At 36.7% G+C, this 19,549-nt stretch overlaps 1 long non-coding RNA gene across 1 annotated transcript in view; it reads right to left on the bottom strand.

Moving 5' to 3' along the window:
* LINC00534 (long intergenic non-protein coding RNA 534) overlaps positions 1–19,549 on the bottom strand; it is a 166,472-nt gene that overhangs the window by 133,699 nt on the left and 13,224 nt on the right. The window contains exon 2 of the long non-coding RNA NR_051989.1: positions 7,991–8,081. This is a non-coding gene — a long non-coding RNA (long intergenic non-protein coding RNA 534). The remainder of the gene's footprint in view (positions 1–7,990; positions 8,082–19,549) is intronic.

The following is a 19,549-nucleotide window of genomic DNA, read 5'->3' as shown; positions in this document are numbered from 1 at the left end:
ATTATTTCTTTAAATATTTCTTCTGTTTTGTCTTCACTCTTACTCATCTTGGATTGTAATTACACATATTTTAGACCAGTCTATGGTATTGTTTGGAAAAGACTGAGGTAAATAGTATATGTGCCTATAAATGGGCACAGATCTTTTCAGGCACTTAGTAAGAGGGATTGTATCAATCTAGTCAGAATTTAGTTATTTAGTTGAGTTTAGATTTCCTTGTTGGTATGAATATCTTCAGTGCTCTATAAAGCATCTAATTGTTCTAAGAATGCCCTGAGTTTAGGCTGGGAAGTGAGATTGCTATGAGGTTTTTCTCAGTATTTGTGATTCATCCTCATCTTACAATCACTCCTTTATACCTTTGCCACAGGGGTGAGAGGGAGAGGCCTCTCCCCAGCCTCTTGCCCTTCCTTCAGGGGTAGGCTGAAATAGGCTGTCACTGCTTGCTAGGCTAGCAGAGAGAGGGCCCTGTTGTCCTGGTTGAGCATCAATCCTAAGGAAGCCCTGTGAGCCTGAGCCTTCAGGTGGAGTTTTATCATATTCCTTTCCCTCTTCCCCACAGCAGTCAAACTCTGCCTGTGTCTGTGGTGGTGCTTTGTGAGAGCATATGTTTTCTGTCCCTTCCATAGAAGCAGGAGACCTCTAATGGTATTAGTATTGGTTCAGCCCTCTTTCCTGCCCAGGAGTAAGGGAGTTTTTTTGTCTCTTTCTCCAGCAACCCTGATTCTTTGCCCTGAGTGTGACAGACCTTTCCTCATGTTCAACCCCTAATTGTTTTTCATGAACACTCAGTGGAAATGGTATATAGTCTGTGAGGGTGCTGCAAATGCCCCTTGGGTCTGAGGCTCCCAGAAAGTCTATACTGTCACACTAGCTGAATCTCAACCTTTGACAATTCATACAATTTTAGCTAATTCTTTCTTCCCTCTTATGGGGTGGCCCTTTCCTCCTACCATAACTCCCACAGTGGAGGTAGTACATGTGTTCCATCTCTCCTTGCAGGAGGTTGGGGGGTGGGGGATCTGCCCTCCCGGGATTTGAGGTGACTTGATTTATCTAGGACCTCAGCCCACTGACAGATTTAAAAAAGTCATATTTGTAGTTTATATGTATTTTCCTCATTATTAGTGAGGGAGCAACATTCTTTCTATTACATTCTATGCAAAAACTTATTTTTATTTTTATTACATAGTCTATTATATGTCTCATGAACTGAATGTTTGTGTCCCCCTAAAATTCACATATTGAAACTCAGTATGTTGGTATTTGGAGATGAGGCCCTTGGGAAGTAATTAGGTCATGAGGGTGGAGCTCTCAGATGGGATTAGTTATTTTATAAGAAGAAACTGGAGAGAATGCTCTGTTTCTCTCATTTCTCTCCATCATGTGAGGATACAATGAGAAGACAGTAGTCTGGACGCTAGTACTCCAGCCCTTAATAGACACCAGATTTGCTGGCACCTTGACCTTTGGAGGTCCTTTCAGCCTCCAAAATGGCGAGAAATAAATGTGGTGTTTAAGCCACCCAATCTATTATATTTATGTTTTAACAGTCCAAGCTCAAACAATAAGTAAACATATTTCTTAAAAATATGGTATAATAGATTATGCTAAAAATATCAGCTTTTAAAGTTAACGTCTCTTCCACAGAGATTAAAAGCAAGACTCTTAGAGATTCGAATTCAAATTGTGCTTTCCCTAGGTGATAAAGCTTAATGGTCATGGAGTTCTGGCTAGATTTCCTAGTTCTTCTCAAGTATAACCCTACTGAATCTGAGTTCTCCTTTTCTCTTGACCAATTGTTTGTATTATAATACAAAGGGACCTTTTACTTTAGAAAAAGTAAAGTAAAATTATATTTTTCACCCCCTTGTGGATGAAAAATATAATTCAGTTTACTAAAATTCAAGGTATAAACAAACAGTGAAAAACAATATTATAGGGTAAGGTAAGGGACTCCTGTTTGGTACACTAACAGAACTGACCATATTTACACTGCCTTCCTACCACCATAGGCATTCTCAGCACCACAGACACCCGCTCATAATATAATAAATAACAAAGGAAATAGAACAGCAAGAAACTGTCACTTGTCAATTAAATGTGTGGTTCCATTACTGACACAATAAAGCAGGTTTGTCACAGAGGAGCCTGGCTGATTTTTTTTATCACATAAAATGGGAACAATTAATTTGAAATATGTTCCCCTTTGGCTTACCAAGCTGCTGAAGCCTCATGGGAATTTATAAAACACATTCCTGATAGAAGCTGGTTCATCAGCATACGGTTGCTACAGTTACGGTATCACTGCAACAGCAACCCAAATAGTGATGCCTTGACAGCTTTTCATTTAGAAAGACCAGAGAAAGATTATTTCCAAGTGTCCAGTTGCCTTTAAATTTATTAATACTGGGTAGGGGAAAGAAGATTATTAAAATGGTCTGAACTTTTCTCAAGTCTCACTCTAGTGCCCACAATATCTCATATGAATTAGGATGAATTACTCTTTCCCATATGGATAGTTTTTAACTAAATTTTTTATTAAAAATTAGATGCAATTACAGTAGGTAATTATACAAGGGATGTTTTTCTTGACTTTTAATATATTTCTGATTTAAAATTATGAAGTCAATCTTTTGTTTTTTCAAAGAAACTGATTAACATACTTAATCTTGACTTAATAGAAATCACATCAATTTTTATTGTCTTTTTAAAAAAGAACTCCTTATTTTTCATGGCCCTCTAACTAACAGCAAAAAATTACCTTTTGAAGAACATTGATTAAAGTAAAGGAGCTCTGTTTGGTTTTGGGTTTTTGTATTTTCTTTTCATTTTTTAATTAGTTCCTACCTTTTGGCACCATTCTCAAATTAGTACTCATTTCTAGCCAAATTTCTCAAGTTTCAAAATGAGCATCTGACAAAGAAGGTGGATTTTGGCAAATGTGAACTTTCTAAATCAGGATGAATCACAACAATTCTCTCCTATATTTCGACAGTGTTTCAACCAAATCAGAGGCTTAACTATGAGACATAAAGCAAAGGAACATGTTGGCCCCCTAGACTGGCATTTGTTAGGATGGGACTTATTACTATAAAATCACTGCCAAATGAGAAAAAAAAAAGATCAGATACAGAAAGGAAGTGACATTACTGTGTTGTGCCAATGAGGAACAATGTTTTTGGATGCTGTATCTTTTATTTCAGATGAAGTATAAATATATTTGCAGAAGTAATTCTAGACAAATTACATAAGACACCAACTCTAATTCTTTCAGAGATATAGCTCTTGAGCAATTATACTCAACAAATATGAACAACGGCATATATTCCCTACTAAACAGTGTGGAAAATAACACAGAATGAGACAATGGCATGTTTCCTAACATTCAAGAAATTTTATTCGGGTTAAGAAAAAGAAGATTAGAAGATAAAACAAAATTTGAAAAGCATGAAAATTATGTAATTGAATACTAAATTGTGTAGCAAAATCTATGTGTGGAAGAAAAGAACATTAGTAAATGCTGAGAATAATGGGAGAAGGCTTCATTGGGAAGGTTGAACTTAACTTGAATCTTAAAAGGCAGACATTTGTTCATTCATTCATTCACTCATTTGGCATTCATTCACTAAGAACTACTCTCTACCAAGCACTCTGTTAATTTCAAAGGACATAAAGTTTATTTATGCCCTGACTTAATGGTACACACAGTTATTCTGGGAAACATAAATATATAAAACGTGATGTCAATACAATATTAGGGCAATTATACAGATAGGGGAGCATTGTTGAAGTACAGGGATCAGAGAAAGCTTTCTAAATCAGATAATGCCAGAACTAAATTTTTTGTTTTTGTTTTCTGTTTTTTTGTTTTGTTTTGTTTTGAGATAGAGTCTCACTCTGTCACCTAGGCTGGAGTGCAGTGGTGCGATCTCGGCTCACTGCAACCTCCGCCTTCCGGTTTCAAGCAATTCTCCTGCCTCAGCACCCCGAGTATCTGGGACTACAGGTGCCCACCACCACACCCAGCTAATTTTTGTATTTTTAGTAGAGATGGGGTTTCACCATGTTGGCCAGGCTGGTCTCTAACTCCTGACCTCGTGATCCACCAGCCTTAGCCTCCCAAAGTGCCAAGATTACAGGCGTGAGCCCCCACGCCTGGCCTGAACTAAGTTTTAAAGGATAATTTGCCAGCTGTATGTTTGCTGAAGCATGGAGCTATATCAGGCCAAAGGTGTAGAAATAACAGGTAGGACCTGGACAGATGGAGGAGATAATGCAGCAGCATTTCAAGTGAAGGCCACATTTCAAGTCATGGAGTGAGGAATGCACATGGCATTTCTGGGATAAACCAGCCTGACTGAGTGGAGGGTTTATATTGATAGAAGGGAGAAATTTGATTAAATATGTAAAGCTGAATCTGTATATTCTAATTAATAAAAGCCAGGAAGAGATGCTTGAGTTTTGGTAGCAGTTAGAGGTGCACTTCTAGAGGGTTAGACTTTTTAACAGGAATCCGATAATTTACTTAGGAATATTAATCTAGCAGGTGAATGTAAGAATGATTTAAATCCCTACATCTTAGTGTTAATGCGGTGAACTAAAAAGCTATGACTACAACCCATGTGTGATTGACTGAAAAGTGGTACTGGGGTAAGGACATGTTTTTTTGCAAGAAACAAAATCTCAATCCAGTTAACTTAAGTAAAGGGAGACAGTACAAGAATTCAAGCTGCAAACTCACAAGTATCTCAGGACAAGAAAGAAACTAGGTCAAGCCACCCAGAGGCTTGACCAGAAAGCCAGCAAGTGAGGCTCCTCCCTCAATATCTCAGGAAGTCACCTGACTCTTGGCCCAGCCCCTTCTCTGCTAGGTAGCAAAACATTCTTGCTTCTCTTAGTACCCTTTAGCTTGCCTATCACCTACACAGTATACACATAGACAAAAAGCAGTTATTCCCATCCAACATGACCTTTGTTCATCTGCCTGTCATTTGAGACTCCAACTCCAAATTCCTGGCTTAAATAAATTGCCCAGCCATGCTCCAGTTGGGGACAGGATGTGGTAAGGCACATGCTAGGGAGCGCTGCAAGTTCCTGATTTTGGGGATGGAGCAGTCGCACTAAGCGGGAACAGTGAGCGAGTGACTGAGATAATCCACAAGGAGAGCCTGAACTTTGACTACAGCAATGGGCATGGGAAAAAAAGGCATTTTTTGGAAGAAACAATAAAAGAAGTTGATGACTAGCTACACACAAAGGGTGAAAAAAGAAAATATTTTGAAGTTGATATAAAAGTTTAAATTTAATTAATCTAGAGAATGATGGTGCTTTGGTAAGGCTAAAAAATTTAGGAGAAATATCTGACTGGAGCAGAAAGGTAATATATCCCAATGGAAAGAACAATAAATTTGAGATAATTAAAGGCATTCACATGAAATTAAGTAGACAACTAAAAATATGGAACTGAATCTAAGGTTAAAAATAGAATTGGATGTTATGCATTAAAATCAGCTATATGATGATGAGAGTTAAAGCTATTTAAAAAGTACAGTGGGAAAAGGTATTTTTTTCTGAAGAAGAATATGGAAAGGGAAGAGCTAGGAGTCAAGAACTGAGACTTTGGGAATAACTACAAGGAGGACAATTTGGGACCCATAAGTAAATGTCCTGTCCAGCAAAGAAAATAGAGAATGGGAGGCCAGAGAAGTATGGGGAAAATACAAATAGAATCATGCCATAAAAGAAAAAAAAGCACCAACTTCTCTCGAACCCTTTTTTAAATGCTATGTTTTATGCCAAATTCAAACTCAGAATGGGAGCCGCTGACCAGCTACAATTTTTTTTTCCATTTCTGGTTTTTACTTTTTCTGAAACTAAGAATTTTGTTTTTTCAGTTTTAAATATCACTTATTTTTAAATTCAATATTTCCTAAAAGAGTTATCAGGACTTTTTTTCTGATTGGAAATTAGTAAGCTAGTCTATGTAGATAGCTAGGAAAAAATAAATGGTTTTCATTTAAGCCATTTTTTTCCTTCAGTAATCTTCTTACCTGAACTAAGACTAAACTTATGAACTTTTAAGTTCAAAAGAGACCCATTTCAAAATATTAGGAGTTGGTGAAAGAGGCATGAACAATGGAAGTCAATTTTCAATGGTAAATGCTATAAGAAGAAATTGGCTACAGCTTCCTCCAAGCTGGAAAAAGGAAAGAGAAACTACAGGAAAAAGTTTGCTGCTCTTAAATTAAAAAAGAAAAAAATCAATGAAATCTTTCTGAAGTAAAATTAAAATAGACCAAATGAAAGACTATGTGCTTTATAGTTAAATCTGGCTTTGGTATAATAAGGAGGTATTGGGAACATGAACCCAGCCTCCTGCTAGGCTCCTTTCTTTCAAACACTGATATTGCCTTTAAACTAAAAACGTAGCAAATACCGTGACTGTATTAAATCTAAATACTCTACCTCTCTATATAAAGCTCATAGTTGTACTAATTGTTCTAGCAGTCACTTCATACTATTCATTCATATTGAACTAAAACCCCCTAAGAATTTTTCACATCAACCTCAACAAAGACTGTTTGTCTCGATTCTGTATTTAATCAAGTGACTTTTGAATCTGAATTTGAAAATTTGCATTTTCTTTATGAGTTTTATCTCTTTCATTTTGGCACACACCTTTCAAATGTTTTTTGAATTCTTATGTTGTCAAAGACATACCAGTTATGTTCATAGCTTTCTGGTTCCCAGAAATGTAATTACCAAGCCATATTTTTTCCCTCGTTCATTTTAAAATTGAGTTTCTGCTGAATGTTAAACTCTTTTCTAGATGTCAGGGGTACAGAAAGAAATCAAATAGCCTCTGCCCTTAAGAGCCCCACAATCTTGTTGGGGAAAAGGGAGAAAATATATATTTTGCAAACATTGTGACAAATGCAATAACAGAGATAGGCTCAGTTGATTATAGAATTAAAAGGGTGATGGCTTGTGAGAGTGTGAAAACAGGGAAGTTGGAGGATGGTGTAGGGGGCAGAAGAGGCCTTACTACATGAGAGTAGGCTTCCTGGGAAAGGCAGTGCTTTCTATTGTTTTCCTGTTAATCAAGGGTATTGATCTGATTACAGGGTCCTGCAGACAAATGCTGAGGAACTCTAAATCAGTGATTCTCGAAATGTGGTCTCCAGACATCAGCATTAGCACCATCTGGAGATGTGTAGAAATGCACATTCTTGGGCCTCATCCCAGACATGCTGAATCTGAAACTCTGGAGTAGGATGCAGAAATCTGTGTTTCAACATGCCCCCCGCAGGTGACTCGGCCACCCACTCAAGTCTGAGCACTGCTGCTGTAAATGCCAATCCTTTAATTAGTATCTCATAGGTGGCCAGTCACTCTTACGGTAGCAATGGAGAAGTGGAGACACCTGAAGATGAAGTCAAAGGCTCTGCTTGGGAATACCAGCTCAGCCACTCACTAGTCTGGTTGGAGCAACTTACTTAACCTTACCATTCGGACTACTGATTGATCACATCTTCCTCAGATTACTATAAAAATAAAATGAAAATATGTGTTTGTAAGTACCTAGCCCATTACCTAGAGTAGGCATCTTTTGTTTCTTTCACAACAGACTAATGAGTTTACCTATGTTGATACTATGAAAAAGCCATAGAAGAGTCTGAAGAATATAGAACTATGTAAATGTTTTCCTCTGGATAAGTTGACATGAGAGTTATCTTCAACTTTTGGAAAGCAGTACTTTAATCCATCTTAAGATGGATTTTCACTCATCAATCTAAAGGGAAATAATTGATAAAAGGAAGATTCAATTCAGTACAGCAGGAAATAGTCTAACAATGGAAAGGACCAGGGCAGAGGGGTGGAGAGTCACTGCAGTTTTCCAGATAAGAAGACATTTTTACTTTGGTGGGAGAAACCACCATACACCTTCCCAAGCAAGCATCAGAATCTAATTCTGTATGATTATTACCTTTAGCAGGTTATTCTTCATGGTTTCTGAAGATTCCCAAATATTTCACAGCAAGAGGCAATGGCTCTCCAACTGAAGATGCTTCTGCACTCTGCAAATAAGAGAATTTTTACAAATGAGCCATCACATCCATATTGTCTATATGTCACAAATATAAATACTTTCTGTATATCCTGAAAATCTTCATGACCCACTTTATTTGTGGCATCCTACTAGCTAATGCTCCAAGTTTACACAATTATACTTTGTGTCCCATTCTCTTCTGGGTTTATAAAAGAGGAAATAAATGTGTAACTACGCTAACCTTATTAAAATTTATTTACTTACCTATTTTATGTCTTAGATATTGAAACATGCATCATTTTAAAACAATATATTTTCTGTTAATATTCTTTTGCATGATGTAGTCTTTACTCTTTGCTAAAATGAGGTAAATGCATTTTTTTTTAAATCTGAGAAAGGCCTGGGATCTATAAAAAGGGGACATTTCCAATGAGATTAAATTTTAATGTTCATAGCACTACATCCAAGCAATTAAAAAAGAGTGAGTTAAATATAGCTTTCCCCTGACAGAGATGCTGCCCTTAGTAGGACACATTGCTATATTCTGTAACCAAATACACTGCCCCAGTTTACTTTAATTCTATCTAAATCTGTATACCCTCCAGAGTGGTATCCTTGAGAAGTTAAGCACCACGGTTATTTAAATCAATGATAGTGTGAATAGCAATAATGGGGCTTGCCAAGTGCAAGTGATTGGCAGATCTGCATACCAGATTCAAGCAGACTATACACACTGACCATATAGGCCACACCCAGGAAAACATTGTGATAGCAAATATTGTAAGGGCCACTGATCAGAGGCCATCTCTTCTAACAATTACTTACTGTGCTAGCACAAGGCATGCTCCCAAAGTTAAACAATGGTACTAAAATTATGATGGAGCTATTTGCCATGTTAGGTGAGTTTCTTAAGAGCAAGAACCTTGATTTTCCCATTTCTATATCCCCTAGAACTTGGCAAACACTGAATGTTTAACGAGTTATTAACAAACAAATAAATGAGTTAATTTGTAAGAGTTGACATCTCCAGATTGCCATTTTCTCCCTTTGATGCATTGCTTTTCATGTGGACTCCCTCTGCTTTAAAATAACCGCCAGGGGTTGCTGTTTTATATTTTTTAACTTGCAATGTCTTTAGCGTACTTTTTAAAAAACTCTACCACACTTCTGCAAATTGTATTTTTCAAAGAAGTCCACGATAATATATACCATCCCACATAATATTCTTACAGGTGACATTGACTTTCCTGCCATTGAGCAGTGAGGTCTATGCCCTTCCTTTGAACCTGAATAGACTTCCCTTAACCATTGGAGTATGGTGGAAGCAACACTGAGTCACTAGATTATAAAAATACCTTGCTCTATTAGTAGGCTCACTCTTGACACCCAGCCACCATGCTATGAGAAAGCCAAGCAGCCATATGGAAAAGCCCTTCGTAGGCATTCTAGCCAAAAGCCTCAGATGAGGCCCCAGCCAGTAGTCAGCATTAACAGGCAGATATGTGAGCAAGGAGTCCTCTGATGATTCCAGCCCTCAGCCTTGAAGCCTTCTTGGTCTTCAAGCCACTCCAGCTGATGAAGCAAGGAACAGAGACAAACTGTCCCTACTAAGCCCAGCCCAAATTGCAGATTCATAAAAATGATAAATGACTGTTCTTGTTTCACGTCACTGCAATGGAGATGATTTGTTGCAAAGCAATAGATAACTGGAACACATACATACCAATAAGTGGCTAATAACTGTACAGTTCAGTCATCACTAAATGAGCACACCTGTGTAATCATCATCTAGTTCCAGAAATAAAGCGCAGCTAGTATCCCAGAAGCCTGTCCAGATCGCTTCCTGTTGTAACCCCCCAAAAGGTAACCAATATCCTGATTTCTAATACCAGAGATTAGTTTGGAATATTTTGAATTCTACATTAATGGACTCACACAATAGGTACTCTTTTGTGACCAATTTCTTTATCTCAATATTATGTTTGTGTACTTAACCCATATTGTTGCAAAATCTGTAGTTTATTCAATTTAATTGCTATGAACTATTGTATAAACATACAATACTTTCTCTGTTCTACTGTTGATGAATATTTGGGATTCTAACAAATGATACTACTGTTAGTATTCTTGTGCATGTCTTTTGGTGTACATATTCATTGTTTATTTGGGGGTGTTATGCCTAGGAGTGGAAATTCTGATTCATAAAATACACAAATGTTTGTTTTTTACTGATAATACCAAACTATTTTCCAAAGTAACCGCACCAATTTACACTCCCATCAACAATGTATAATATTCTTCCCCAGCACTTTGTAATTTGAGTCATTCTGCTGGACAATATTAATGTGCATTTTCTTGATGTCTAATGAAGTTGAGCCCTTTTTATGTTTGTTAGCTATGTGTGTATTTTCTTTTGTAAACTGCTTGTTCAAGTCTTTTGCCAATTTTTATATTGGGTGATCTTCTCATTTTCTTATATGTTTAAGAATTCATTATATATTCTAAAAGAGACTTGTCAACTGCCAACTCCCCTCAGAGACTATTAAATTAACCTAATGATGAAGCAAAACCAAATATCTTAACCTACTATTGTGATGAAAAGCATCAGTTTGACACTCTTCAGTCTCAGAAAAGGGAAGACAAGAGCGGATATCCGTGGAATTTTTTAAAATCTAAAATCAAATGATTTATGAATCTTTCAATACAGACATCTGATTGGGACTGGGAAAAATTCATAATAAATTAGTATAGGATTGAGGGACAACAAGGCAACGGTCATAAAGTGAGTCTTCATAAACAAACAGTTGTTTTATGAGATTTTCCACTAAGTAAGCAAACTACCGTCCTGAGAAGGGGGCCGTTTTTCTAGATGAGCAATCTACTCTTTGGAAAAATTAGTTTTCATGAATTTCCTGAAGCAAGTAGTGAAGTTATGTATTGTTTTCAGTCTTATCTTTCTTGGCAAACTTTTCAGAACAAATTGTAAGTGGTCTGTTTCCAGTCTTGAGAACTAAGCCCTGTAGATGCAGGTGGTCCCAGTTGTCAGATCCTACAGACATTTTGCAAATATTGTCACTCCTTTGTTGCTTGTCTTTAGAGTGACCATCCTGATTTGTCTAGGACTCTTCCAGTTTTAGCACTAAAAATTTATGTTGCAAGAAAGCCCTTAGTCCTGGGCAAACTGGGATGGTTGGCCATCCCACTTGCTTTGTTTCTCTTAAATGTATCTTTTGACAGACAGAAGTTCTTAAATTTAATGTAGTACAGCTTAACAGATTTTCTTAGGATTAGTGCTTTTTGGAGTCCTGTTAAGAAATCTCCTACACAAGTCTTTACATATAGCCTAGATTTAATAAACATATAATGTAAACTTTTATAAGAGTTTGATAGTTCAAATGGATTTCCTATGCTTAAAATTCCTTGTATATATTAATTTTGAAAATGATTCTTCAGTGCCAAAAGCTAAGCTACTTAAAGAATCCATTAAGTCTTTTTTATATTGTTATTTGATATAATGAAAGGATGAGCAAATTTTGATAAATGATGGTAGAAATTTCATGAAAAGATTGTGCTATTAATGATCAAGCTTCATGACTCATAGTCTTTTTTTTGTCTTTTTTTTTCCCCAAATACTGCTGAAACTAGAGCCTAACATCACAAATATCACAAGCTGCTGGTACCATTAAATTTTTTGACAAAATACTTGCTGATCACTTTCTGATTTATTTTTCTTTCTTTTTTTTCTTTTCTTTTCTTTTTTTTTTTTTTTTTGTTGTTGTTGTTGAGACAGGGCCTCACTCTGTTGCCCAGATTGAAGTGCAGTGGCATGAAAATAGCTCACTACAGTCTCAACCTGGGATCAAGTGATTCTCCCATCTCAGGGTAGCTGGAATCACAAATCACAGGTGTTCACCACCATGCCCAGCTAATTTTTTTTTTTTTTTTTGGTAGAGACGGAGTCTTGCCATGTTGCCCTGACTAGTCTCAAATTCCTGGGCTCAAGTAATCCTCCTGCCTTGGCTTTCCCAAAGTGCTGAGATTATAGGCATGAGCCACCATACTGGTCTTCTTTTTCAAAGTTAATGTCCTCAACAAGATGGGTCCATCTCATCTCCATCTATTCCAGTCTTGATACCCTACAAAATGTTCATCATCTGACTAAAACAATTACAACAGGACTCACTCTTGATCTTTTTCATACCAGCTCAGTAATTTCATTGCAGTCATTATCAGTTGAACCTTTCTTTGGGCATTTATGTCATTACTATGTGTAAGGCACTGTACTAAACACCATTAGAGAGACAAAGATATATAAACAGCAGTCTGCCAGGCAATTCTCCTCCTTAGCACTTTGTAGTCTAAGTTTCAGAAGTCTACGCATTTTATGAGTTTTCTCAAACCACTTATCACCTTTGCTGCCTCCACCTTCATTATAATACCAAGCCTTATATCTCCTTATTAATGTTCTTTGATGTGAGTTCAATTACTCCAAAAGTAAAGTGTCATAGTCCTACACTAGATGGAAACTGAGACGTTGTTGATTCAATTACTTAATTTATTAATCTTTCCATAGATAACCATATACCTTTTTATCTTGTCTCATATTTCTAACTTCCTGGATTTTTCATTTTATACTTAAGATACTTAAATATTTAAAACCTGCTTCATATTTCCAGAGTTGGCCACAATGGAGTAAGCACACCCTTACTTGTTTTTCGACTGATTATACCTAAAAATTCTGGTCAAAATTTAAAAAATCAAAATCTGAGAACTCTGAAAAGATGAATTGGAGAGGTGTGCCAAAACCTGAAGAATGAACCATAACAGGCATGATTTTCCTGGTTTTTTCATTTTTTACCTCCTGACTCTAACCCAATAGAACCTGAGCCACAGAACTGCACTAAAGCAATGGAAAAATAGTTCAGATACCTTAAACCAGTCTTTCTAGCCAGAAGAACTGACAGAGATGGGTCCTGTGATCCAATTAATGTAGGGGAATCCTCATTGTTTTCTTCTCCTTCTTTTCTCACAACTTTTCCCCAAAGGCAGCCCCACTCAAGCAGAACTATGTAGCAATATGAGCATATAAAATGCTAAGATAGATTTTTTTTTTCTATCCAAGTGACGGAAAGAGGAAAAATTATATGCCTGTATTTACCCTTTTAAACTAGAGACACATATCCCTCATGAAATTTTGAAAAAGACTGTGTTATTTCTTCCAAAATTTTCTGTCATCTGTTTCTCTGTTACTTTCTGAAACTCTTTTTAACTAGATATTGAGCTTCCTGGCTTGGTCTTCTAGTCTATAATATTTTCTCATTTATTTCCCAATGGTATAGGTTTTTTATATTGTTTTTGTTTTGTTTTGTTACTTGCTAGAAAATTTCCTTGATTTTTGTTTTCAACCTTTAAATTTATTTGGGTTTTTTTTCTTCCATTCATCATTTTTTGCTTTCCCAAGGGTTATTTCGTATGTTTTCTAATTGTTTAGATATTGTTTTTGTTTAGTGTCCTATTTTTGCATTATCAATGCAACCTTCTCAAATAACCCTAGAATACTAATTAGTGTTCTATTATGAAATATTTTCTTTTTTTTATTATTATTATTATACTTTAAGTTTTAGGGTACATGTGCACAATGTGCAGGTTAGTTACATATGTATACATGTGCCATGCTGGTGTGCTGCACCCATTAACTCGTCATTTAGCATTAGGTATATCTCCTAATGCTATCCCTCCCCTCTCCCCCCCACCCCACAACAGTCCCCAGAGTGTGACGTTCCCCTTCCTGTATTTTCTTTTAATTTTTAGAAATTTCCTATTAGTTGTGTTTTCTATTTCCTCTGTGGTTATTTTTTTTCTCTCTTTCTGTATTTGCCTCACTCTTTCACATTTTATACTTGATTTGACTAGTCTAGGGATAACCATTTGTGTTCTTTGGAAGCCAGATTGGCAGATTTTGCTTTATGGCATGAGAGCAGGCAACTGGCCACCATGCTGGAGAGTCTCTGAACCACCAACATGCAAGTCAAAGCTCTTAAAGCTGCCTTGCCTCTGCAGAGTGCAGATGATTATATTTCTTCAGAAAAGTGACTTTGCTATTTTTTGACTTCAATTGTAGGCAAACCTGATGATGAATATTATGTGTGAAGAAAGTTAGAAAAAAGGATAGGGCCATTAACTTTTTTTTCATATAGATTTCAACTAATGACCTTCTCTATTAGTTACCTGTTGCTGCCATACTAAATCACCAGATATACTCAGTAACTTAAAATAACACAGACATATGATCTCACAGTTTCTGTAGGTCAGAAGTCCATGGGACCTCAGCTGGGTCCTCTGCTGATGGACTCATAAGGCTGCAATCCAGGTGTTGGCAGGGCTGCATTCCTTACTGGACACTTTGGGGAGAATCCACTTCCAACCTACTTCATGGAGTCTGTTGGCCGAGTTCAGTTTCTTGTGGTTGCAGGAATGAGACCCCCATTTCCTTGCTGGCTGTCAGTTGAGGCAGGTTTTTACTCTTCTATGATACCTGCATTTCTTCCCATGCTTTCCATGTGGTCCTCTGCAGCCACAGCAGGTTGAGTCTCTCTCATGCTTCAAATCTCTCTGACTTTTCCTTCTGTCTTATCCCTCTGACTCCATCCAGAGAAAGTTCTTTGCTTTTAAGGTCTCCTGTGATTAGACTGGGTCCACCCAGATAATCCAGAATAACTTTCCTGTCTTAAGGTCTGTAAATTTAATTATATCGGTGAAGTCACTTTAGCCATGTAATGTAACATATTCACAGGTCCTAGGAGTTAGGGTATGGATAATTTTGAAGAAGCCACTCTGACTACCACACCGACCTTTTAGTCCTATCTCTTGTTTCTACATTCTATTATTATTGAAATGTCATAGTCCTAGCCAACTACAGAATTTTGCAAGGTAGATAGATCAGCTGGCCTCAATTTCAACCCACTCCATACATGTTCTAGGTAATAATTACAAAGGAACTGGAATTAGACTACTTATCAGTAACATGAGATGTTAAAAGTTATGGAAGAATGCCTCCAGAATTTTGAAGGAAAATTATTTTCAATCTAGAATTCTATACCTAAAAAACTATCAACCAAATGTGACTGCAGAATAAAAAATATTTCTAAACAACCAAGAACTGAAAACTATGTCTCATGTATCCTCTTTTATAATATTACTTGAAAATGTGCTCCAGCCAAATAAAGAGATAAATCAAACAAGAAAAAAGACATAAGATCCAGGAAATATCAGCCAATGCAGCAGATTAATTTTAAAAATCCCAAAAAATTGGCGGTTCAATGAGCCTAAGAGAGCAATCAATTCATACTGGAGTTAGAATATGAAAGGTTCCAAGAAAGATATCTGGGAAATAGAGATTTCATAGATATACTATCCTTGAGAAATTTTAAGAATTGAAGAATGCAATAATGATAGAAAATAAAATAAAAATATGTAAGGCAAGTAGTAGCCCCAGGGAAAACAAAAAGTTGTGTCAGAAAGGAAACTTAATCAGAGTTTGATTCTTGGCAGTCAAGTGAACAATATTTAATAGTCATGGTACAAATATTGTTTACATTTTAAAAGTTTATAATTATTCTGTATAAAAGTATTAAAAGTTATAGTTAGGGAACTGAATACAAATAAAAATAACACTAATGTTGTAAAAGTAATTGCATAAGCTGGGAGATGAAGCTAGAGAAGGAGAGATAACAGGAAGGGAAAAGACACCAATAATCTCATTTTACAAACTGTGGAGTCCAAAGGCACTACCCACAATTAATAGAACAGAAAATAGAGCTATTAATAGTTGTATATTACTTACAGTTGCAAATTTCATTAATAGAGAACTAAAAACTAAATACATAGAAAGGGACAAAGGTGAAGTGAAAGTGAATTATATTCTTCTCTAGCACAGATAAAAATCAATAGATAAGGTCCAATGTTAATAAATTATTTTTAAGGTATATATTGTTAAGAGCAGGGGTCAGCAAACAATGGCTCGCAGGCCAAATCCAACCCATGACCTGTTTTTGTATGCCTGGTGAACTAAGAATGCTTTCATTTATCTTTAAAGAGTGGTCAAAACAGAAGAATGTGTGACGGAGACTATATGTGGCCCATAAAGCCTAAGCTATTTGCTATGTAGCCATTTAGAGAAAAAAAAAGTCAAATCCTGATTTAGAGATGTGGGAGACACTCCTCCTGGGGTCTCGTGCTCAAACACACCTTGCTGGGTATGCTAGAAATGCAAGGCCCAGACCTGAACCACATGTCAGACTGCGTTTGCTGTCAGCAACCTTAAATAATGAAGTAATATCTCCCACAGGTCAGAGAGCAGGCTTGTTTACTGCTTATAATGAAACAGTGGACTCCCTAAGCTCAGTGATCCTGTCACACAATTCACTGCATGTGCGGCTGACATTTGTCTGGACCCTCCTTGTCATCCCGTGGGACTTGAGAGGACAAAGGGAACTAACACAAACAAGACAATGCACATGTTACTCGCTGTGCTGTCAGTAATGCATCATTTTTCACAGACCTAGGAGCATCACTCGAACAGTAACAGACTAAGTCATTCACTTGTCAGCAATGTACATTCAAATATCAGAGGCTGAGGTGGGAGGATCGCTTGAGCCCAGGAGTTTGAGACCAGCCTGGGCAACACAGTGAGACCTTGTCTCTACAAAAATTGTTTTAAACATAAAACAAAATATTAAATTCAAATCCCAGACCCTGATTGAGACAGCTATCAAAATAACTGAAAACAGTAACAAGTAAGTGTTCATCTTTGCAGTGGAGCAGAGAGTGGAGGCCAGTCAGGGACTCATTACTTTTCACACAAGACCTTCTTACTATTTGATTTTTAAAATATATATGCATATATTACTTTGATTATACATATATATAGTAAGATACTCCCACACATCACCACTGTAAATTGAATCTGGCCAGATTCAAAACTAGTTTTGACAAGTAGAAAGCAGCAGATGTGACAGGTGTAACTTTTAAACTTGGGCCTTAAGAGATCTTCAGCTTCTACCTGGAATTCTTAATATTCAAACCCAGCCATGGTGTTGTGAGAAGGCCAAGATATATGGAAAACCACATGGAGGAACAGAGAGGCATCTTGGTCAAGATCCCCAACTGAACTTCCAGCCAACTGCTAACCAAGTGCTCTCAACAGTCCTGCCCACTTGAGTACTCAGTTGTCTTCAGCCCCTAACAACTCTTCACGAATGAGAGGAACTGCACAGCTGATCCCAATCCATCCATAGACTTCTGCACAATAATGTCATTATTGTTCTTTAAGCTGCTAAATTTTGGAGTGGCTTATCATATAGCAAGAGATAGCCAAAATAGTATACATTAAATGTATTTAACCTACATGATAGATTAAAGAATCTGCATTAACATATCATCCTTGGATTGTTTATCCAAATACCTTCTTTCTAACCTTTTATATCTTTTGACCATTGACTGGTCATGCAGAAATTATTATTTCTTACTAGTAGTCATGAGTGAGGCATATGTCTTGTCTCTTTTCAACACAATTTATTGCTTTCCTAGAAATAGATCTGCCACATGTATACCACTATTAGAAAATTTGCTTTTGAGGGACAAAAATAACTACAGTTTACTCTGACATGCCTTATTCAGAATGTTTATTTTGCTATCATCTTACCAAGGACCTTTACATAAGCTATTTTTATCCTAATTGTTTTGATTCATTTTGATACATACATACACACAATTTTTAAAAACCTCTATTACCTACAAAGAGTACATGCTTAGTTACCAAAAAAATGCTAAGATGGATCTCCAGATGTATACCCTATGCCATCTAGTGACCTTTAAAGCTATGCCTTGCATCTTCTCATTCACATGCAATACACTGACTTTATGAGTTAGGACCCTGTATTTCAGTTGTAATCATGGCCCCCAAGTCTTTCACCTCAAACAGCCTTACCTCCACTAAGCCTGTTCTTTGCTTTCATTGCTTTTGCAGGCTTCTTTCTCCTTTATATTCCCCCATCCATTAACCTTTTCTGGTAGTATTTGCATGATTCCTCTCCTGTCTGTCCTCCACGATCAACCGTTTCAGCAATTCTACACAAGCATCACCAGGCCTCTTGATTCTCTGCAGTGTTAATACCTATGGCATCTGAGCATGAATAGAGAAAATCACTGGTGATTTGTTTGATTATGACTCATTCCAGCTTCAACTGAGACCTCACTGCTACTGAGCAATGATTTCTCATCTTGTGTCAGTTCCATTACATATTTCTCTCAATAGCTGCTTAAAACCTTTACCTTTCCTCTTGCATCCCTAGCTTACCTGAAACCCATCTGATTCTCAGTCCATGATCTCATCTCTTCTTATCCAGCCTCCATTATTTTCTTTTGCTAATATTTGGGAAAAGTGTGTCTTCTCTTTTCCAAAGTCAAGTTATTCAAATGTAAATCCCTAATTATTGCTTCTTTTTTAAGGACCTCTCCATTAATTTCTTTTATAGGACCTACCAACACATTGGATGGCCTTTCATAGACTTGTGGTCTTCATGTGGCTCTCATGGCCTTCCTCCTGGACTTCTGTAATAATATATTAAAATTCATTTTTCCATAGGCCTTATTAGGGTCCCATTAGTAACATTAAGTCAAGTTTCTCTAGCTTGAAAGCCTGCCACTCTGCTTCATTATTTCCCAGTGTTCACTGGATTTCTTTCTAGATTTCAGAAACTTATTCTGATCTCACATTTTCTAGTTTCTCACTCCACTTATGTAGGTTTATACCTTTTTATTTTACTATTGTTTTCATGGAGTCAATAGGAAAAAGAGATCAATGCATGTGCTGATCTGCCATCTTGAATTGGAATTCATTTTTTATTTTTTACAATATGCTTATCTCATTTGCATATGTAGTATAGTCATAAAAATATCTGAGGTCACCAATTTAAGGATATAATTCTTTTTGCATTATTGAAATTTTTCCTGTTTTTCCTGATGCATTTTTTTCATCCAGTCTCTCTTGTGTTGCAGGCTTTCCTCAAATATCTATGATCCTTTGTTGCTTGTTTATATATAAGAATAAGGCAACAGAAAGGCTGACTGGGTGCTGTATGTGAGTTGAGCTTGCTGGCTGGCAGACTTTGCTTTAAATTGAGTGAGAAGAAAGCCAGTCGTTATGCTGGGGATCTCTTCTTTAAATCTATAGCACCTATGGGACCCTACAGGTAGATTAGAGGCCTCTTTCACTGCAGTGGCCCTCAAGGATATTCTAGGCTATGGTTTCCTTCACTCAATTCAGTAGTCACCATCCCTTCCTCAGCTTTCTGACTTCCACAGATTTTATTAAATGTTATGTCCACTGATGATCCCTTCTACAGTTCATTATTTCTGTTGGAAATTATGTCACTTTTATGTCATTCTTTAATTGGTTGCCTTCTTTAATGTCATTCCTGTTTCTGTAATTAGGTC

Source organism: Homo sapiens, chromosome 8, assembly GCF_000001405.40.
Source record: "Homo sapiens chromosome 8, GRCh38.p14 Primary Assembly".
Classification (NCBI taxonomy): Eukaryota; Metazoa; Chordata; class Mammalia; order Primates; family Hominidae; genus Homo; species Homo sapiens.
Note: the sequence above shows the minus strand (reverse complement) of the source record. Positions and strands in the feature narration are given on the sequence as shown.